This window comes from Homo sapiens, chromosome 10 (genome assembly GCF_000001405.40).
Source record: "Homo sapiens chromosome 10, GRCh38.p14 Primary Assembly".
NCBI classification, from domain to species: domain Eukaryota; kingdom Metazoa; phylum Chordata; class Mammalia; order Primates; family Hominidae; genus Homo; species Homo sapiens.
Window position 1 is genome coordinate 61,789,396 of NC_000010.11, and position 23,478 is coordinate 61,812,873.

The following is a 23,478-nucleotide window of genomic DNA, read 5'->3' on the forward strand; positions in this document are numbered from 1 at the left end:
CAAAGCAAAAAGATAAACATCACTTGTAAATGAAGCAATGGGGTACAATTTGGAGCAAATGTTCACTGATAATAAATCAAAAGCTCAATATTTGCCCCCTCAGGCCTCCCCAAACTTCCCATCAGTAAAATGCTATCAAAACAAGCAAGGAAAAACATATTCCTACTTCAATTTCTATTTCAGTGCAAAATACAGTTCTCAAAATGTCAGTTTCATCTAGTTTGGCCTTTCCAAGAACGTGCATAGTTAATCGTCAATGAACTGTAGTGTTTGGAGGATGCTGTTTAATTGAATTTTCAGGTTAACTGGGGCTAAGCAGAAAACTTTTTTTCTTTTTTGTTTCTAGTAGGAATCCTATAAAGTACTGATGGAATGGAAATGATGGTGTCCTGGAGACCCAGGGACCTAGGTTCCTAGGAAATTTCTTGGGAAGTCATATGCAAAAGAAATCCTGACAAAAAGAAGGCAAATAATACGTCATTGTCAGCTGTGTTTGTGTCCCAGGCCTTTAGGTAGAGCTCTCTGATAGAGTTAGCTGGAGCCTATGCCTTAGCTCAGGACTTTTAGGTCCTCACCCTGCCCATGTGCCTAAAGTCAAATCTTATTATTAGGACATCACAGGAAAAGAGCAAATAAAGAATGTTTACAATGAGAAGAAAGTGCAAAATATCCTTGCTTAATATGCCACATGGAAGTGAGTGCTAAACTGCCTACTTCAGCCTCCTGAAGAAGAGAAGCAGATTTTACCCTTAATAATAAATGTGGTTCACGGCAAAAATGGGTTTCACCTCATGGATAATTTTATGCCTTTTTAAATGAAATTTTACTCTATTATATAGATGATGACTTGAATATTACTCCTCCATGTCTTTACCAGATTCAGAGAATATAACACCACTAAATTACTATCATTGCCATCATTACAAACACATATTTTCTAGCACAGTTGGTTCCACAATAGACTAGCATACCGGTGCTTACTGTAGGGAAATGTAAAAGAGAAGGCCAGCGCAGCGGTCATTTAAAGAGATCTAAGCCATCTAAATTATCCTCCTAAAAACCCTTCAAAATCCTAAGAAGACAAGTAATATTAATTTACTTTTAAAGTAAGGATACTTTTTATAATTAGTACCTTGCCCTTTTGTTTAAATTGTGATAGTCAAATACATTTTTTAATGATATATGAATAGTTCATGGATAATACAGGCCCTTATATAAACAATAGGTATGGAACATATAATTCCATTTTAAACTTGTCATTTTACATTTTTGCAATTTAATAGTAATTAGATCCTAATCTCATTATCTTAAGACTTTGCAGTTTGTATCTTGGATTTCAGGACAATGAAAGGTCACCTCTGAGTTATGTGAAGCTGTGGCCTTGTTTGGGAACACAATTCCCAAATATAACACTGTTTGAATGGGAATATATTATCCATTATACTCTGATGCATTCAATGATCTAGTTTCCAGAAATAGATTTTGGCAAATAGCGAGGACTGAACTTCTATTAATGATACCTCTGCCTCCCTGCTTTAATTACTTCCTTGAATCAGGTATAGAAAGCAATTGATTCATCTATTGATTATGGTAAACAAGCACCATAGGGAGCTTCATTGCCATTTCATAGAGGGCTTGTGGCAAAAAGGGATGTATCCATCCTTCAGTTCATAGGACAAAGAAGCCCATGCATGAAGTCACCATAGCACTTAGAGACCAGTGTCCACCAACCATGAAAACCAAATAGGCTGCAATTCCTTTTGATTCTGCACCTCCCTAAGGGGGCATGAAGTTTCTCCAAAGAGAGTTTGAAGGCCTTGTCTGCCCAGATCTGGATGCAAAGCTCAGTTAGGTTCAGCTCTGAGGCTCTGACACCACAGGCTCAGGAGTTTGCTTACATTACTCTGAGATCACAGGTCACCCTCCGAGATCCCAGCGAATTCACTCTCCCACAGTTTACCCCAGGAGTCCAACAGGCAGAGTGTGAGAGGGTGAAAGATGAATCTGGGTAAAGTCATAACCATTCCCAGAAAAAGAATCCCAAGCATGTACTCAGCTCAAATATGAACTGGGGGACATCCAATGAGCCTGTCACATGACACTGGACTTGGGAAAAGTAAGTCAAAAATATGCTTGCTTACTTGGTTCATGATTAACTATTTAAGACAAGTTGCATGGATGCAAAACACATATGAAAAAGTGAAAGCATAAGGCAAATCCACAAAGGGACAAAAAGCCCTAATGACAATAATAAAAATACCATGATATTTTGTTTCCAACTGAGTTAGTCAGAACACTATCAGCTATTGGTGACTGACAAAAATGCAACTCAAACTAGTTGCAACCAGAAAGGGAACCTATCAGTTCATAAACTTGGAAATTCAATCTTGCTTCAGGTACTACTGAATCCCAGATACTCAAATGATGTCTTCATTATGCCTTCACTCTATCACCATCTCCTGGCTCTGGATGTTCTGTGTTGGATTCACTGATCTCTTCACAAATTCCCAAAGAACCTGTAGTTCCAGGCTTGTTTCTGTTGCTTGCAATCTTAGAAAGAAAAAAAACAGATCCTCTCCTCTAAAAGTTTCAGCAGAAGTCCAAGGGTTACGCGCATCAGCCCAGTTTGGGTTGAATGCCATCCATAAGTTTTACACTGCACCTAGGGGATGGAATGTGCTTATTAGACCTATTCCTGTTCAAGAGGTGTTGGAAGCCCCACCTGAACAGCACTGATCAAAAGAGAGGAAGGGGACAGTCCCCAAAGGAAAAGTGAGAGAGTGATGGCAAAATAAGGGAAAAGGGTGTTGGGCAGACAAACAACAGATAACCATTTTAGCTACCAACACTCAGATGGCAGTCTGTGGATTAGACTTGGAAATGCCTAAAATTCTCTAGACAATCTCAGTGCCATCTCCGGCATTTGCTCTTCAGTTCAAAGACCCAAGACTACATCAACTAGAAGACTCATAGTGCATTGCTCATTCATTCAACAACTATTGTGCACCTCCCCAGACCTAGTTACTGGGGATACAATGGCAAGCAAGATGTATAAAGTATGATAAAAGATAGGATAAGGAATGACATCACAACTAATATTTATCATTAGGTGGCAGACACTGTGATGAATTTATTTACATAATTTTAAGGGTGTTACCAAACACAGAGAAAGGAATCCTAGCCCAGCCTTGGGAGATCAGGAAATGCTTCTAGAGGAAATGAACTTGAAGTTGAGGTTTGAAAAATGGGTAAGAGTTTGTCTAATCAAAGAGAGAAGTTAGGTAGTTCAAGCAAAGGAAACAGCACAAGCAATGTCTCCCAAATCAAGAAACAGTATAGTATTTTAGAGGAACAGAAAGACTTGTATAAACTCAAATAGTTTATTAATATAAACATTCTTAAGGGCAAAAACTATTCTTATTCCACTTACAATGTAATCTTAAACAGGTTACTTGAATCCTCTGGGGGTCTCTCATAATGTTGTTATAAGGATCAAATGTAATAATATAGGTAAAATAGTAAATTTAAAGTCATCTACAACTCCAAGGCACACGTCAAGAACTAAAACTATTATGTAGATTCATAAATCCTGCATGATTAAGGAAAGATGACTGGCTCTGTATAATTGGGTCACTTGAGAAAAACATGCTTGAGCTTTCTGATGTCTATTTACCCACTAAGCTTCCTTATACTCATTGTGTGAGGTTAAACACACACAGGAGTCATGTGTCTTTTATATCAGTGATCAGAAATGTAATAAGAGGGAGCAGGCAGTGTGGAAAAGTGTGCTCTCTAGGAAAACAATGGAAGTGTTCAAAGAATGTGGGTACAATGCACTGTTATAAAAACATCCTTGGCAGGAGAGAGGGATCCTGGGATTTTTTTTTTTTTTTTTTTTTGAGATGGAATTTTACTCTTGTTGCCCAGGCTGGAGTGCAATGGCGTGATCTCGGCTCACTGCAACCTCCACCTACTGAGTTCAAGTGACTCTCCTGCTTCAGCCTCCTAAGTAGCTGGGATTACAGGTGATGCCACCACACCCAGCTAATTTTTTGTATTTTTAGTAGAGACAGGGTTTCATCATGTTGGCCAGGCTGGTCTTGAACTCCTGACCTCAGATGATCCACCTGCCATGGCCTCCCAAAGTGCTGGGATTACAGGTGTGAGCCACAACGCCCAGCCGGGATTGTGGGATTTTAAAGGGAAAGGAGGAAAATTTTGCATCTCACGTTCTAAGAATATAATCCACAAAAAAAAAAGGATATGTTTGGAAGATACCTGGAAGGAGGAAAAATATAGGGTATGAAGTGAGAATGAAAGATTATGAAGTATGAATCTAGGAGAAGTAGTAGAAATAGTTTGGGGGACTTATATTCTTAAAACATCAACATAAGGTATGTTTAAATTGTAACCCAGGCCAGAGAGTCATGAATAATCAGTTTGTCTTGGAGAATTCTGGAATTATAAACAAAAGGATACAAAGCATTGTCCAAGGTAAATATTGACATAACTGAAGAGGAACTAGAAAAACTCTTAATGAGGCCAAAAATACTGCATCTGGGGCAGATGTTTCACATTCTAACAATAAACACTCGGGTACAAGAACTCTAAGGATGAGGGGTAAGAATGGTGTCCAATAGGTTGAAAAATTGACTTTGAACAAAGACCTTCTCAAATTTAAAACAGTGATACTATAAAAACATGAATATTAATTTTTAAGACCATGTTATTTCTTAAAATAAGGGCAATTCTCTCTGCCAGACACTCATTTGCCCACAAATATGAGGGGATTAGTGTTCATATCCTGAAGCAGCCATCTGGTTTATACAGTGACAAATGCACAGTGGTTTCTTCCTCAACTCCCAGCTGCCCAGGAGTGAAGTGGTCTGGGAAGCCCCAGCACGACAGCTGGGCCACTACTAGGTCTAAGCCCTCCAGCCCCTGCAATGACAAACCTTTTTGCTGAGACACACCCCCGCTCCACCATCAAGGATGGCTATGGAAGGACTTCACTAATTCCTTCGGATTCATGCCCTGCTTCCTCCCAGGAGGATGTTCAGGTGGGGTAACCTGAAACAGAATAAACAGAAGCCCATTATTGCTGCTTAGTGGGAGCCAGTGAAGGATCTTGTCAGCAGAAAAGCGCCATGGCAACCAGTTCTTCAAAGCATTTTTTTAAAACTACAAGTTGAATTTCATCTGGAAACATCCCAATTACCCAATTAGACTAAGCTGCAAAGTCTTTTTAGAATAAGCTCAGATCATAAGTGAGTGAATAGCTCAAACCCAAACCATTGCTTTCTGATACCCAGAAAATATAAGTTTGTTGGTACTGTATTCTGGTAGAAAGACAGTTTATTAGCAGGGAGAACGAAACCAGTCTGCATTTGTACAAAGTCTCAGTGCTACGGTAACATATGACTATATCCCATTGGGAGCCATGAGATCCTGGTTTTATTTTTCCCACTTAACAGATGGGAAAACTAAGGAGCTATAAGTAGACTCATCCCTGGGGGACAGAGAAAGAGGCCAGGGTAAGGCAAATCTGGATTTTCTTGCTTTTGTGTTTATTTCTGTATAGCTCCAAGGAGTCAGAGAAATCAGCATCCAAGCCCTGTAGGTTCCACCCCTGAAATGTCTCATCCCTCACCTTCTTCTCCACCCTCTCTCCATTGTGCAAGTCAGACTTGGAGGACCTGCCACCTGGGAAAGTGTTCTCTTCTGCTCCTGCTCTTGCTGGACATGTCTATGACAGCATGGGGCACATCACAGCCCCCACCCCCACCATGCTGAATTGTCTCTTGTGGGCTGAATTATGCACCCCCCCAAATCCATATGCTGAAGTTCTAGCCCCCAGTACCTCAAAATATGACTGGACTTGGAGATAGGGCCTTCAAAGAGGTAATCAAAATAAAATGAGGTCATACGGATGGGCCCTAGTCCAATAGGACTGGTGTCTCTATAAGGAGAAAAGATTAAGACACAGAAAACACGCTGACCCAGGGAATGACCACAGGAAGACACAGTGAGAAGGTGGCCACTTGCAAGCCCAGGAGAGAGGCCTCAGAGAAAACCAACCCTGCTAAGACCTTGGTCTTGGACTTCCAGCCTCCAGAACTGTAAGAATAAATGTCTGTTTCTTAAGCACCCAGTCTGTGGTATCTTGTTACGGCACCCCTCACAGACTGCTCCACTGCTCTTCCGATGGCAGTTCAGGTCTCCTCAATGTCACAGGCTGATAGAATTATCTGCTATACCCTCACCCACCACAAGTCGCATGCTCCAGCCACACCATGCACTTTCAACACTCTATTAATTTCCAGAAATATTCCCCATCAACTTAAAATTACTTCTCTACCTTTGCTTTCTGTTAAAGTCTTCCTCATGCCTCAAGGCCAGGCCCAGGAGAGCCAGTTCATAAAGTGCTCCCTAATCTCTTGTAGGTGTATTGCTAAGACTTAAATGACACTTGCCATGTGGCAGGCTCTGTGCAAAAGCATTTCCTATCCACTGTCTCATCTCATCATCATGCCTAGCCTATAGAATGGATACCCTCTGCTGATCCCATTTTATGGATGAGGAAACTGAAGCACAGAGAGGAGAGGCAAAATGTTTGTCACAGTTAGGAGGGGCGGCTTCCCTCCAGAGCATCTGCAGTCCCATGGCTACGGCATCCCTCTTCGGGGTAATGTTTGTTCTGTGCTCCCACTGCACTTCCAACCTCAAGGGAAGCACCGTTAGACCACTCTGCTTTCTTTGGAAGTTGAGAGGCAGTATGTATAATGGTAAGTCTCTCTGTGCCTCAGTTTCCTCAACTGTAAAATAGGGATAATAACTGACTATATACTGTACTTTTGTTTCATAAGGACTACACAAGCTACTCCATTAAAGGAAAACTTGGAACTGTGCCTGGCACATAGCAAGTACTTAATGAATGTCAGATACTAATTCATTAGAGTCTACTGTTCCCCCAACGAGAATTTGAGCTCCTCTGTCCAGGTTATCTTGGTATGCCCCAAACCTAGGAGCCTAATGTGGTGCTCTGCACAGCTTGGGCACAAGGTATAAAACTATTCTAATATTAATTGAATATGTCATTTTTAATAGATACCACCTTTTGATCATCTTCTTCTATCAACAGTTAAAGTAAAACCCAAGGTTCACCTTAGTCTACCAGGCACTCTCTGCCCTGGCACCTGACTACCTGTTTCACCTCATTTCTTCCTTTCTCCCTTTCCCTGTTCATTCTTACCACACTGTAACCACCTTGGTTTTCCTCAAACATCTCTACCACACTCCTGTCTCAGAGGCTTTCCTATAACCTCTCCCTTACTCTGATGTATTTTTCACAGTACTTCGTAGTTTCTTATGTAACTATCTATATATTTATTGTCTGTCTCCCCCATTAGAATGAGAGCTCCATGAGGACAGGAACTTTGATTCACTGCTGTATTCCCTGTGCCCAGAGCAGTGAATGGCACATAACAGACAGTTAATATCTCAAGGTTGCATGAATACATGAATGAATCTCCAGACCCCGCAGCAACATTGAAAGGTGGGTTTTAAATGCCCATTCTACAGACTAACAAACTGAGGTCTAGCAATTAAGTAATTTTCCCACAGGCACACATTTAGTAACAGGCAGATCTTGGATTTTATCCATGTCTCTCTGACTCTAAAATTCTTTCCATAACACCAGGGTCTCCTCATCTTAAGAAATACATGTGCCACCTTCAAGAGTTTCACCAACTTTCACATAACATCTGAATTAGTATTTGCCAAAACTTTAAGTCATTTAAATATTATGCAAGTTATTATAGATTATATATACCTTAAGTATAACTATACCTACCTTTAAGTCATTTATATATTATTCAAATTATTTTATTTTGAAAGAAAAGCAACCATTTATGTGGAATAAATCACACTAGAATACATATGTGTTGATTATGATTCAAAATATTTGTCAGTATATTTGGAAGCAGGGATATGGCTCCTGCATTTGAAAGCACTGATCCATGCTGCCTTATTCTACATATCCCTGGGCTGGTCCTGAATGCAGCCACCCCAGGCATCAGGATCCTCCACATCCACAGTGCCTCTTTTCTACTCCCCTTGTTCATCCAGCTTCCTGCTCACAAGTCCCTCTGCTCTTTGACAGGACATTTTTCATCGAAGGCCAGAAAGAGATTTCTGATGCCTTCAAAGCACGCACATGCACTCGCGTGCACACACATGCACTTGCGTGCACACACACACACACACACACACCCCATGTCAGGAGCTCACATGAGCCTGTGAACATGCCAGCTGCCCAGCTGAAAGCAAAAGCAAGATGCAGGAGAGAGAAATTAATTGAAAACTTGAGGCTGTCAAGCCATACTGAGGAAAATCTCTCCCTGAGTTAAAGATCAGGAACATAATCAAGGAAAGTGGCTTCTATAAAAGCTTGATTGGTTGATCGAAATCTCCAGTCATCTCGAAAATAATTGCCCGGAAGAAAGCACTGAGTGACCTGTCTGCTCGGAAAGGAGCCGCCACACCGACAACGGAAGGTGCCCCCAACCATCCTCCCCTGCGCAGGCCCCAGCGATGATGAACTGAATCTGTTTAAGGAAGTATATTGCCTCATTATTTTCTGCTCTGACATACACGCATATTCCTCATGGATGTTAACTCTCAACAAAATAGAGGAAATGTTTGTGCTCTTTGTTTCTGCAGCTCTTTCATTTCCATGTCGGTATTTTATAAATATTCGGTCTGTACTCCTCCAGGCATGAGGAATGATGAAGATGGCTGTGGGCCCTGCTGTGGGCACAGCAACTGGAAGCAGGCCTGTGTCGGGGCAGCGTTCTCCTCCAGGTCCCCAAAACATCCTCCCACAAGGGTCTTCCTCTGTCTTTGTCTACTCCCTGGCCCCACAGTGGTCTATCAGAAATGCAAATGTCATCACATCTCTCTTTGAGCTCAAAGTCTTCAGCAACTATCCATTGCCTACATTTAAAAATCCATCATCCTTAAAATGATGTGCTGGGCCTTATGAGGTTCCATCTAGCCCCCGCCTGCTTCTACTAAGCATCTCTCAAACCCTCCCCGCATCAACTCAAAGCCCTCCAGGTTCTCTCACATCTCTACATCTGGGCCTGCCTACGTGGTTCCCACCACCTAAGAGGCCCACTTACCTCTTCCCCTCACATCCTTGTCAGCCTTGGAAATTCCTTTCTGTCCTTTAAGACTCTGCTCAATGAAGTCTTGTCTTACCAGCTCAGTGCCTGTGTCAACTGACTTATAGAAAAAGGGCATCAAGAGTCTTGGAGAATTGCCCTTCCCTAGCAGGCTCCCATTGTCCAAGGTCAGCTCATGCTCTGCCCCACCTCCTCAAAGAAGGCTTCCATGATTTTTTTTTCCTCTGCTTGCTCAGATCTCTAACTTTCCTGAGTTTCTATGTTATATAAATCTGTGCCACACATCTGAACCCTTTTTCCACTCCACCAAAGATTTGAACAAATGCCAAAATACTGAGCAAGTCATCCTCTTCCAGGAATCTGTCCTGAGTAAATAATCAAAAAGCTGATCAAAGATTTACAAACATGGACATTCACTGAATTTTTTTAAAAGACAGGTCCTCAGCCTGCCAAGTAGCTAGGACTACAGGAGTGCACCACCACACCCAGCTAATTTTTTATTTTTTTAGAGATGGGGTCTAGCTATGTTGCCTAGGTTGGTCTTGAACTCCTGGCCTCAAGCAGTCTTTCTGTCTTGGCCTCCCAAACACTGGAATTGCAGGCATGGGCCACCTGGCCTGGCCACATCATTTTTTATAATAACAAAAATCAGAAACAACTTAACTGTGCAATGGTGGGGATTCCTACATAAAATATGTCTATATGGTCATTAGAAATATTTTAAAGAACGTTTAAGGATATTGAAAGAATGCCCACTGAATAATGTTATGTTAAAAAAAAAGAATATAAAATTGTATGTAAAATATAGCCAGGCGCAGTGGCTGATGCCCGTAATCCCAGCACTTTGGGAAGCTGAGGAGGGAGGATCACTTCAGCCCATGGAGTTCAAGACCAGACTGGGCAACATTGTGAAATTCTGTCTCTATAAAAAATACAAAAATTAGCTGGGTGTGGCCCACACCTGTAATCCCAGCTACTCAGGAGGCTGAGATGGGAGGAACCCTTGAGCCTAGGGAGGTTGAAACTGCAGTGAACTGAGATCGCGCCACTGCACTCCAGCCTGGGGGACAGAGCAGGACCCTGTTTCAAAAAAATATAAATAAAAATAAAAATAATAAAATTGTAAGTAAAATTTGATTTCAGGTTTTTAAGATAGATAGATAGATAGATAGATAGATAATGTGAATATACATTTTATAGAGAGAAGTGAGATAGGAGAAGAGTAGCATGGGCTCCAGAACCAAGCTGTGTGGTTTAAGTAGGTTTGACCTTGTGGTCTTGGGAAAGTTACTTTAATCACTCTTTACTTCACATTTCTCATCAATTAAATTGGGATAATAATAATACCCTCTATGTAAGGCTACCATGGATATGAGTTAATATATGTACAGTGTGTGGAATTACACCTGGCAAATAGTAAGTGCTACATAAGGGTCAGTCATCTTTGCTACTATACATTCAAAAAATACTTCAAAGAACCAAAATACTGCCCTTTCCAGGTGGTAGAACTTTAAGTGATTTTTATTCTTGCCTTTACATTTTTTTTATTCTTTCTTATTTTTCAAATTGCTTATAATAAACACATATCACTTTTTTAATCTAAAAAATATATGCTGCTTTTAAAGAAGTAAAGCACCATTCAAAATATATTTTATTCTTCACTCACAGCATCTAGGCATGAATGGTTTGGGGGTTTTTGTTGCTTTTTTTTTTTTCTTTTTTTTTTTTGCTGGGGGTTGAGGGTGGTTTATTTTATTTTATTTTATTATTTTATTTTAGAGCAAGAGAGAGAGAGAGAATGTCGCATAAGCCAGTCCGCATTGCCTAAGTGTCTGTTCCCAAGGAGCACAGTAAAAACCCTTGGGCCCTGGGAAAAAAGAGTGGCTGCAAAATCTCTCTATTAAGAACATGAGCATTGGAACTGACAAGAAAATGGCACTGTCACTTTGAGCAAGTTGCAGATTTTTCTTAAGTCTCAGTTTTCTCATCTGCAAAATAAGGGAAAAAATTATTCCCACTTCATAAGGTAGCTAAAGCAACACACAAAATTGAATAAGGCCTGTCACATAGTAGGGACTCAGGAACTTTTAGCAATCATAGAGATGATCAAAACTCAGAAGGGAGCTGCTCAGCCGGTGCAGGTGAGCAGACAAACTTGGATTTGTATCAAGCCTCTTGTCCCTACTTGCAGTATGGCATTCAAGATCAAAGGAGGGCCTTCTACACTGAACCCCAGTTATCCTCTATTTCCACATCCTATTTATAGCCTTTTGGAGTGTTTACCAATCATTTGTTTTTTGTTGATTTATTTCTTTGTTTCACTATATTTTATCTGTCCTCACAATTAGATTGTAAACCCCATAAGAGCAGGAACCAAGCCTATTACGCTCATTATGCTATTCTCAGTGCCTAGCACAACACCTAGAATAAAGTAGAAATCTGTAATTGTGTGTGTGTGTGTGTGTGTGTGTAAAAGAGTCATGTTCAAATGAATGAATAAATCTGGGCCAGTTATTTTAGATGCCTTCTCTATTAAAAAAAATAAGTGATATATAGTGTCTGACACATAGTAGGTGCTCTTTCAATATTAATTTCTTCTTTCTGGGTATTCATCAGATTAGCTGTTATCATTTTCTAAAATTACTTTGACTGTCTGAATAAATGCTGTCCATGATGCATCTTAAACTACTATCCCCTGTGCCTATGAAATTGCTTGATAAAGGAAATTTTTTCCAGAGAACAGAGCAAAAAAAGCTTAGAAACTATAATTTTTATAGTTCACACCCCGTGCATGCCAGACATAAAAACCATTTTGAGGAGCTAATTAGTGATGTAAAAAAATAAATGAAAAAAATGAAAAATAAAAATGTAACACTAGGTTTTGGCAGCCAAAAGAAAGGTTCTTTTCAATCTAAAAGTGGTCGTCATTCCAATTTGTATTGCCTTAATTCATTTCTCAAACAGAGAGGAAAAATTGGTGATTAAGATGTGTAATGGAAAATTTTCAGAGCAAAGTGAGGAGGTGACTGGAGACCATATGTTGCCCAAGAACAGAGCCTTCAGCAAACGTTGAAGAAGAACAAATGTGCTGATTTGCATGCTGTCGGCGATTATGTCCTGATGAAAGAATACATCCCATTAGTACTAATGGGCATTATATACACATGCTATTAAAACAACATATAAACTTTCCTGAGACCAAGAGCAAAGGAGACGCCAACAATACATTGCCAGCAGCAAAAAGAAGAGCAATGTAAGTTGTTGAATCAGAATTTTTCACACATATTCACATTAGAAAAGACCCTATTTCTAATATTAGCAAAGCAAGGACTCTCCTAGCATCCTATGTTAAAATCAGCCGCCACTGTCAGACACACAGAATCCACTGTGCCTGTAGCAATGAACGAATCTACAAAATTAAGACATAATGGACCTTGTTATTTACCTTGATGCATGAAGTTCAACCCAAATGATAAAACTTAACAGTTAAATTATGCAATAAATATAAGCTCAGCACTCACTATAGTATGCAGTAAACTATGCTGGCACAAACTACTAGGCAAAGTTAAATACAATTCACCGAAGAGTAACTCGGGTAAAGTTTTCAGTGTTAAGAGTGAAAACGTGGCCACAGGCTTCCATCAGCCAGTGGTATAAACCCAAGCGGTCCTGGCCCACCAATTCCTCCTAAACCAGTACTCAAAGTCCTTTGTGCTCAGAAGTCCAGAAGTCAAGCCCAAAGTGGTCAGGTTAAGGTTCTCAGGAAGGCTACCCTTCTTTCTCAGACAAGACCTATGGTGGGCTAGAGAACAAGTTCAGTGACACAAGTCAAAATGAAGTTGGAGTCAATGTCAGAGGAAGGCTTCACAGGTTTTCTACAGATGTTCTCATACAACTGGACTGGGAAAGTATATACACCAGGTGAGATGGCAGCAGGTGTCAATAGCTATTTATCCTCGGCCCTGGAGAAGGACACTTCCTGCCTCAGCACTGCCCCAGTGACCTGAGACTCAATGATGTGGCTATAAGGAATTGTGACCTAGGGCAAGACCTGTTTGAAGACAGAGCTCATATTGTAGCTGTCTTTGAGTTTCCCATAGTGCCCAACACTTTGCTTTGTGTAGATTACATACTCAACACACAGGAATGGTGGGATTATAAAGGTAACTTTACAATTATCTATCCTTTCCTTTTATCAGTCACTGTTCCTTTTCCTACAAGTTCCCAGTACCCTCAAAAATGCCACTTCGAGGGTCTACCAAAGCTGACGAGCCAATCAGACCCAAGTTCAATCACATTTCCACTACCTGATAACAGCAAACACTTCTACCATGCCAAATATGTGCCAGACACTATTCTAAATACTTCTGTATACAAACTCCTTTAATCCTCACAATAACCTATAGATAGATACTATTATCATTCCTGCATACAGGAATGAAGACACTAAGGCACAAAGACAGATGTTTAGTCTCTTGTCCAAAGTCACAAAGCTAGCACTCTGGACCTGGATTCAAACCTCATTTCTAACACTTATTAGCTGTATGGCTTTACCTGACCTTGTTTGCTTCTATGCCTTCATTCAACAAGTATATAATGAATGCAGACTCTGTGTTAGGAATTGTTCTCAGCATAGGAGATAAAGTGATGAATGGGACAAAGATACCCCTTTTCCATGGTTGGAGACTAATCAAAGCCATAGATAACATGCTATAAACAAAATTATTTTATGTAAGAACAATAAAAATAAAGGTGATGTGATAGAGCAGTGAGGGAAAGCCCTTTGTTAAGGTGGTCAAAAAAGTTCTCTCTGGAGTCATAGCAAATAACCTTAAAATCAAATGATAAGCCAGCCAACCTATTGGCCAAAGGCCAAGATTTCACAATAAGAAGACACTTGGTTGCTAGTGCCATTTTTACGGAGAATGCTTGTAGGTGAGGGTTAACATGTGATGCAAAGGTCTTCAGGCATACTGTCCCTTTCTACAAGTCCGCTGACATACTTCTTCCCCAGATCTTGTCCTCCAGCCTCTAATCTTCCTGCTCCGAGGCCTCTGTCCAACCAATCCAAGCATCTGCTGCTGATAATGTGTCTGCGTGTATTCTTACCTTGGGCCACTTCTTTTCTTACACGAAGTGGAAGAGCAAGTGTAGCCCATGAAGCTCTGCCCATTGAGATGATCTCACCTCACTATTCCCTTTCACAGGGTAGGACTGTACAGCATCAGCAGTCCATTCTAGGCTTCCACTCACATACTGAGCTGACCAATCTGGCTTTTCTTCTCCACAGTTTCCTCCTCTGTCAACTGATTATAAGGAACCCTTCATGTGGCTATAAGTGTGTGCTGAGAAAGAGGGCCTAGAGCCAAAGTGGAGGATGGCATAAGGGTCTGGACACCCTTTGTGCAGCTTACTTGTGTCTTCTGACTCTGTTCATGGCCAATGCCAGGTGATGATGATAGTGATGATGGTGGTGATGACCATGATGGGTCTACCCATTCTTAGTAGATCTGAAAGAATCTAGATCATAATAAGCAACTCTGGCCACAAAGCTGTTTGATGGTACAAAGTCAGACGGCCTGTCCACTCAGGGAATAATAGCATGCCAAGAGCCACTTTTGGAAAGCTAATATAGCTCTCTTTTGCAGATGGTATGGCATTACCCTAGAATCCTAGAGGTCTACATTGTCATCTTCCTATTGGGGCTTGACATAAACCCCACATAGAGTCCTTTCCACCATACAGACTTATAGTACCATAAGACCTACCAGGTCTAATGGTCCAAGTGGCAGGGCTGGTTGCACTACAGATTGGATCTGCCATAGAGCTCTTTCCTGGTCTTGATGCTACTCAGAACTGGCAGTATTTCATGTCATATATAAATGGATTGAGGCAGTATTGTCAAAGGTGAAATATTCTGCCCCAGAGCCCAAAAAAGCCTAACTAAAATCTGTTGTTATTTCTTAGTCGTAGAGGGAAGTGATTAAACAGATTTCCTTTTCTTTGGAGGGGATGACTCAGCATAATCTAGACAACATGAACTCTAAAACTTTCATCAGTGTCACCAGCTTTCATCTATGTACTCCTAGTGTTTAACTTCCACCCTCTGAAGCACATGTATCTTACCAAAACCTCCAGTTAATTGCTATCTCTTGCTTATCTGATCCAAAGAATATGATGTCCTCAATGTAAAGGACCAAGGTGATGCTCTGTGCAATGTCCCTAGGATGTAGATCCCTTCAGACTATTAGATGACAATAAAAAGAAAAAACAACAAATCCCTAGGGAAAAAATGTCCATTCCACATAAATGAGAATGCTTCTGATATTTCTTATTGATAGAGATGGGAAAAATGCACTCATCAGCTCAATAGCCACACACTGGTCTACATATCTGAAACTATGTTAACCTACTCTAGCAAAGATACAATATCCAGCATAGCAACCACAATTGGGATCACTACTTGTCTGAAGCTACAGTGGTCTACTGTCAACCACCAGAATCCATCAGATTTTTGGTGGGAGTCAGACTGGTGAATTAAAAAAATGCTATGATGGAGATTATCAAACCTACATCCACCCAGCCATAAAGATGAGTGTGCCCAGAAACATTCCATCATCAAATGGCAGTGGTACATATGTGATCAGGGCCCCAGCAGGCCCGAACACACAAATGAGTTACATGAAGAAGCGGCCCAAACGCCCATGGTCCCCACTGCTGCTACAGCTACACTGCCCTCTGTTTCTTAGCCTGCACTGAGATGGTCACATGAGGAGTTTTCTGTAGTCAGCTGACAGAGGAAGAGAACACTCAAGCCAGACTTACAGATGGTTCTGCATGAAATGCAGGAACCATTCAAAAGTACACTACTATACCACTGCAGTCCCTTTCTGGAACATACCTGAACACAGTGTTGAAAGAAAATGCTCTCAGTAGACAGAACTGTAGGCAGTGCATCTGGTTGTGCACTTTGCTTAGAAGGAGAAATGGCCAAAGACATGATTCTATACCAATCCATGGGCTGTAGCCAGTGTTTTGGCTGGATGGTCAGGGACCTGGAAGAAACATGACTGCAAAATTGGTAACAAAGAAATATGGAGAAAGGGTATGTGGATAAATGACTCTGAATGAGCAGAAAAGTGAAGATATTTGTGTTCCATGTTAATATTCAACAAAAGTGGATAAAATACTGGTCAGCCTCTCTTGTCATCACCCAGTAGGTTCATGAATAAGGTGGCCACAGTAGCAAGGATGGACTTTATGGCCGGGCTCAGAAACAGGAACTTCCACTCAGCAAAGCTAACTTGCCTGTGGCCACCACCGAGTACCTAATCTGCCAACAGCAAAGACCAACAGCGAGTCCCTGATATGGCACCATTCCCCAGGGTGATCAGCCAGCTACCTGGTAGCAGGTTGATTACACTGACTTGCTTCCATTATGAAGGGGGCTATGTTTTGTTCTTATTAGAATAGATATTTACTTTGAATATGGATTTGCCTTCCCTGAATGCAACGCTTCTGACAAAACTACTATCCATAAGCTTACAGAATTCCTTATACGCCATCATGATATTCCACACAACATTGCCTCTGATCAAGGAACTCACTTCACTGCAAAAGGAGTGTGGCAATGGCCCTATGCTCATGGAATTCACTGCTTTTTTCATGTTCTCCACCAGCCTGAAGCAGTTGGCTTGATAGATTCTCTGAATAAGTATCCAGTATATGGTTCTGTGTCTCCCATATCCAGGATTAATGGGTCCAGGAATCAAACGGTGAAGGTGGGGTGGTACCAGTCACCACTACCCTAAGGACTCACTAACAAAATTGTTGCTTCCTATTCCCATAACTTTATGCCCTGCTGGTTCAGAGGTCTTAGTCGCTGACCTCCACTGGCCCAGAGGTCAGAGGAATGCCTCTAGCAGGAGACACAATAATGATTCCATTAAACTAGAAGTTAAGATTGCCACCCGGCCACTTTGGGTTCCTTGTGCCTCTGAATCAACAGGGAAAGAAGGGAGTTACACTGTTGGCAGGGGTGATTGATCCTGATTACCAAGGGTAAATTGGGATATTATTCCACAATGCAGGTGAGGAAGAGTTTGTCTGAAATGCAGGATTTCCCTTAGGGCATCTCTTAGTATTATCATGTCCTGTGATTAATTAAGGTCAATGGAAAACCACAACAAACCAATCCAGGCAAGACTACTAATGGTCCAGACCCTTCAGGAATGAAAGTTTGTGTAACTCTTCCCTAAGTATCCCAGGTAAAGAACCACAATCAGCAGAGATGCTTGCTGAAAGCAAAGAGAATACCGAATGAGTGACAGAAGTCAGTTATAAATAGTAGCTATGACCATATATATGACCAGTTACAGGGGCAAGGACTGTAATTGTCATAAAGATTTCTTCTTTATTCATTATGAGGAATTTTTATTCATACACATTTATGTGTATATATACATACATTAAGCAAGTATCCTTGCTTTCTTTCCTCTTATGTTATCATGTAATATAAGTTATGTTGACTTTATGTCAGTATATAAGTATTGTTAATTTTACATCACAGTATTTAAGTTATGGAATATCAGCAGAAGAGTAAACACTATTCAAGGACTTTACCTCATCTTCTAGGGAAGGGATTAGTAGGTTTTCAGTTGTACACAGAGTTAGTTTTATCACATTAAACAGAATTATGACCTTGTTATTGTCTCTGTGGGGAGATGAAGTGTTGTTTAAGGCAATGTATATGGGTGCCAAGTTGATAAAAGGTGAATTTGTGATGGTTAATTTTTATGTGTCAACTTGACTGAGCTAAAAGATGCCCAGATAGCTGGTAAAATATTATTTCTGGGTATGTCTATGAGAGTGCTTCTGGAAGAGACTAGTATTTGAATTGGCAGGCTGAGCAAAGAAGATCCCCTTCTCCGAGTAGACATCATCCAATACATTGAGGGCCTCAATAGGACAAAAGGCAGAGGAAGAGCAAATTTGCTCTCTGCTTAAGCTGAGACATCCATCTTCTCCTGCTCTCAGACATCAGTGCTCCTAACGCCCAGGCCTATGGACTCAGACAGGGACTGATACCATTGGCTCCATTGGTTCTGTTTCTCTGGATCACCCTGACTAATACAATTGGAGATGAAATAAATGCACTAACCAGATCAATGACCACACACTGGTGTATGTATCCAAGGCCACATCAGTGCTCACTTCACTAGCATATTCCTTATTACTTTGGTGAGAACGTTCTCCTGGCCCGTCTATGGAAAATGGTCAACTAAACATTTTTCTGGCCTTATCTTATATAAATATTCCAGCAGGGCTCCTTCTCTGAGCCTTCTGATGGCTTCACCATCTACCTGGGCAGTTCTGATAGTTCTACTTCATTTGGTGTGGGTCATTGCATTCTCCAAGTTTCCAAGAGCCATTCTAGCACTGTCTCCTGGGGTCTTTGCCAAAGTGCTAAAATTGTGTGTCCAGGGAAAAATGCTCTCATATTGGGTAAATTCTCCATTATCCAACTTTATATTTCTGTCCCTTGGTTCAGCACCTTCAGAAGCCAGAATAGCTTGGGTAACTATTCTATCAAATAGACTCTGAGATGGTGATATACATACAAAATGTTTATTGGTGTGCGCTCTCAGGAACAATGCCTGTAAGAAGGTAAGGCAAGCAGGATTCAGCACAGGAAAAAGTTTAACTGATGTACTTGCAACAGAAACTTCAGCTGACTCCATGGGGAGGACTGGAGCCAGAATGGCTCTTCAGAGCTGCTTTTGAACCCCTTTGCTGACAGTTCCTAAATGGAGACTGCCCCTGGACAAAGGGCACACCATGAACAAGGCAATTCCCTTCCACCAAGGCAATTCCTGAAGAACAGGTTACACTCCCAGCAGCTGGAGGCATGAAGAGGGAATCAGCATTAGAGAGCCCATTAGACACAAACCTTTGTAATAAAATGAAAACCTTCCAAAGCCTAAGTTAGCAACTTCACCTTTAGGAGAAAAGCAGATACTAAGAATTCCAAAGGGCAAAGACCCCAAATTTTAAGTTATGAGGGTAAAATATTGGAAAGAATTGTAAATACTTCATGTGTCTCTATAAAATAATGAACTTTCCTTTAAAAAGGTTAATTGCTCAAAGAACAGTGTTTCTGTGGCTTCCACAGTACTGCAGCTTTCACAGACAATGCAAGCAGACACGTGCTATTTTGGGACCGGTTGTACCAAGAACAAAAGCAGAGTTCACTATATGGCTCAAAGTGGGTTGTTTATATGTTATCACATGCCCAGTCATTCCTGGCTTTATGTTTTCCTACATACTTAGTGACTATCCTTATGGAACAGAAGACTTTATGAAAGTAGCTCCCAGCATGGCAAAATGAAAAATACTTTGGCATCAGAGAAAGGAGACCTGGGTTTATTCCCCAGCTGTCTAACTAGCAGTGTAACCTCAGATAGGTCACTTGCCCTCTTTTGGCCTCAATTTGTCTCCAAAATTGGGTCAGATATTGAAAATACATGGCTATGACATACTTCTTACCCTTCTCACTTGTGGCAGACATTGCTAATGCATGAAGGTACTCTTTTAGGCTAAACCTAGATATGAAACTTAGAATCCTCTCAACAAAGTGCTCCAGGAAATCACTACTGACTAATCCGTGTTGACAATGCCATGAAACCTACACCATGATCTGGAATGAAAGTTCCCTTCTCGCATCCACAGGCTACAATTCCATGCGCAGAGCCATGCATGAAGACTCACAAGCCAGGGTAGCTCCAGCAACTCTTGTGTATACACACCCTAGGACCCCTTGTCAGCAGTAAGATCACGGAGACACTCAGCAGCTGAGGCAGAAGTTCTAGACCGTATTTCCACTTTCTCCAATGCCCTTCATCCTCTCTGCCTCTTGGTAGGCTATGGCCAGGGAGTTCATCCATAGCTTAGGTTCCAGCCCCATCCATCCCTAACTTGACCCAGTAGGGAACCTCTAGATTGAGGTAACCCTAGGGCACGTCAAACAATCACACAGGATCAGACTATCACCCAAAAAGCTGATCTTAGGATGTGTCATCACATTAGTGCAAATTAGCTCTGATTTTTCTGTGTCATTAATAACAATTTTGCTGTACAGAAAGAAAACCTTTTATTTCCACAAGCATCACAAAGACCCACGAACCCTACCTTCCTACCCTCACAATTTCATGAGGGCCACTTTCCTCCTCTCCCAACAAACAAACACAAGTAAGAATCTAACTGATCTATTGTGAGCAAAATAATAGTCCTCTTGCTTAGACAATTTGAGCTCCCATCATCCCCAAAGCTTTATTTCTCCTCCTAACCCTCCTCCCCTCATACCACTTCTCTCCTCTGTCTTTAAGTAGCTCATTCTGCATAATGAGGGTCTTTGCAAGGCAAATTCTGTGGTTTCTAAAAAGAATCTAGTGTCCTCATTAGGGTCAATTTTTTAAGGCCCTTCAACTATTTTGAAAATGTTAACTCTGTCCTTGTTCCTTGATTCATTAGTAATGCTGCCAGATCCAATGTATCATTCAATAAGTCCAACCGCTTGTCAAAAATAGTAACTGAATTCCCTATATTGCCAATTCAAAATTTGATCTCCCAAAGCCCAAATACAAAAATACATTAAGCTCCACTGTGTTCAAATTTCATTTGGAGATTATTTGCTGATAGCTGCCAGTTCCCAGGACCCTAAGTCCTAAAATGAAGCCGGAGTTAATATCTCATTAGGTAAAAAGTATGACAGGATATGGACTTTCAGGGATGGGAAGAGCTCAAAAATCATGTAGTCCAACCTCCTTGTTTTACAAACAGGGAAACTATGCTCAGGAAGGCTAAGTGACTTACTCAGGGTCACACAGCAAATTAGTGACATGGCAGAAATTAGAACCCTTGCCTTATGGGCACCCACACACACATATAGACACATGCCCATCATCTTTTGTTATTCCAGATAGTTATGAGGCACCATCTTTTGGGGAATCTAAGGGACAAATGGAGCCAAATTTCTAACACTACCTCTCCTCTGGAGATATGGTTAGACTTTGTGCCCGCACCCAAACCTCATCTTGAATTGTAATCCCCATAATCCCCGTGAGTCAAGGAAGAGACCAGGTGGAGGTCATTGGATCATGGGGGAGGTTCTCCCATGCTGTTCTCATGATAATGGTGATCTCAGGAGATCTGATAGTTTGATTAGGGGCTCTTCCCCCTTCACTTGGCACTTCTCCTTCCTGCTGCCTCGTGAAGTGAATTTCACTTCTAGGTATATACCCAAGAGAAATGAAAACATATGCCCTTGCAAAAACTTGTACACAAATGTTCATAGCAGCTTTACTCATAATACCCAATAAATGGAAACAACCTAATGTTCATCAGCTGATAATGGATAAATAAAATATAACATATCTATACTACAGAATATTGTTAGACAATTTAAAGAAATACTGATACATGCTATAACATGGATAAACATTGAAAACATTATGCTAAGTGAAAGAAGCCAGTCACAGGGATAATTTTTTTTTTTTTTTTGAGACAGAGTCTCGCTCTTATGACTTAGGTTAGAGTGAAGTGGCATGATCTCAGCTCACTGCAACCTCTGCCTCCCAAGTTCAAGCGATTCTCCTGCTTCAGCCTCCCCAGTAGCTGGGATTACAGGCGCACACCACCACACCCAGCTAATTTTTTATATTTTTGGTAGAGACAAGGTTTCACCATGTTGGCCAGGCTGGTCTCGAACTCCTGACCTCAAGTGATCTGCCTGCCTCAGCCTCCCAAAGTGCTGGGATTACAGGCATGAGCCACCAGCCCCAGCCTCACAAGGGATAAATATTATAAGATTTCATTCATATAAAATGTCCAAAGTAAGCACATTCATAGAAACAGAAAGTAGATTAGCAGTTGCCTAGGACTAAGGGGGCAGGGAAGGTTAGGGAGAAATAAGACATGACTGCCAATGGTAATGGAGTTTCTTTTTAGAAGTGATGAAAATACTATAAAATTTATTGTGGTGACAGTTGCACAAATCTATAAACATATTAAAAATCGGGCCAGGCGCAGTGGCTCACGCCTGTAATCCCAGCACTTTGGGAGGCCGAGGCAGGCGGATCACCTGAGGTCAGGAGTTTGAGACCAGTCTGACCAACATGGAAAAACCCCATCCCTACTAAAAATATGAAATTAGCTGGGCGTGGTGGCGCATGCCTGTAATCCCAGCTACTCAGGGGGCTGAGGTAAGAGAATTGCTTGAACCTGGGAGGCAGAAGTTGTGGTGAGCCGAGATCATGCCATTGCATTCCCGCCTGGGCACCAAGAGTGAAACTCCATCTCAAAAAAAAAAAAAAAATCAGAGAATTGAACACTTTACATGGTGAATTATATGGTAGGTGAATGATACACCAATAAAGTGTTATTTTTAAAAATCAGTCTATCATTTGGGCTGCTTTGGTAAAACTATAGAGTTTCAAGGTCAGAAGCATGAAAACCAACTAGGAGGCTGTTGCAAAAACCAAGTGTGAGGTGATGGTGACTTGGACCAAAAAGTGAGTGGTGAAGGTGGAAAGTGTCATTGAGTTTTGTGTTCCTTTTGAAGGATGAGTCAACATCTTTCCTTTCTCAGAAACTGACCATAAAAATATGAGTTAGAGGTAAATGTCAGGTTTGAGGTCTGAGCAATTGATAGTGAAAGTTCCCATGTACTGTGAAAAGGACATTGCTGGCTGGGTTCAGCGGCCCATACTTGTAATCCCAGCACTTTGGGAGGTTGAGATGGGAAGACTGCTTGAGCCCAGGAGTGCAAGACCAGCCTGGGCAACATAGAGAGACCCCGCCTCTGCGAAAAATAGAAAAATTAGCCAGGCATGGTGGCATGTGCCTATAGTCCTAGCTACTCAGGAGGCTGAGGTGGGAAGATCACTAAGCCCAGGAGTTTGAAGTTGCAGTGAGCTATAATCAAGCCACTGCACCGCAGCCTGAGTGACAGAGCAAGACCCTGTCTCTAAAAGAATACATATAAAACAGAAAAAGGACATTGCTGGAAGAAAAAAATTACTGGTGGGACAGGAGACCTGGAGTTTCATCTTGGCTGTGTTAAACCGAAGACCCTGTTCACCACCTAAGTGGAGTTGTCAAGCGGGCACCTCAATCTGGCATTCAAGGGAAAGATGAAAACTGAAAGATAAAAACAGGTATGATCAGCAGGTAGGTACTTTGAACCCTGAGAAAGGTGCCACACTCACCTACCAAGTGAGGGTAGGTATAAAAGATA

At 41.3% G+C, this 23,478-nt stretch overlaps 1 long non-coding RNA gene across 8 annotated transcripts in view; it reads right to left on the minus strand.

The window, feature by feature from the left end:
• LINC02625 (long intergenic non-protein coding RNA 2625) overlaps nucleotides 1-23,478 on the minus strand; it is an 89,240-nt gene that overhangs the window by 10,690 nt on the left and 55,072 nt on the right. For all 8 annotated transcript variants that reach the window (XR_001747461.2, XR_001747458.2, XR_001747460.2 and 5 more), the window contains exon 3: nucleotides 4,956-5,070. This is a non-coding gene — a long non-coding RNA (long intergenic non-protein coding RNA 2625). The remainder of the gene's footprint in view (nucleotides 1-4,955; nucleotides 5,071-23,478) is intronic.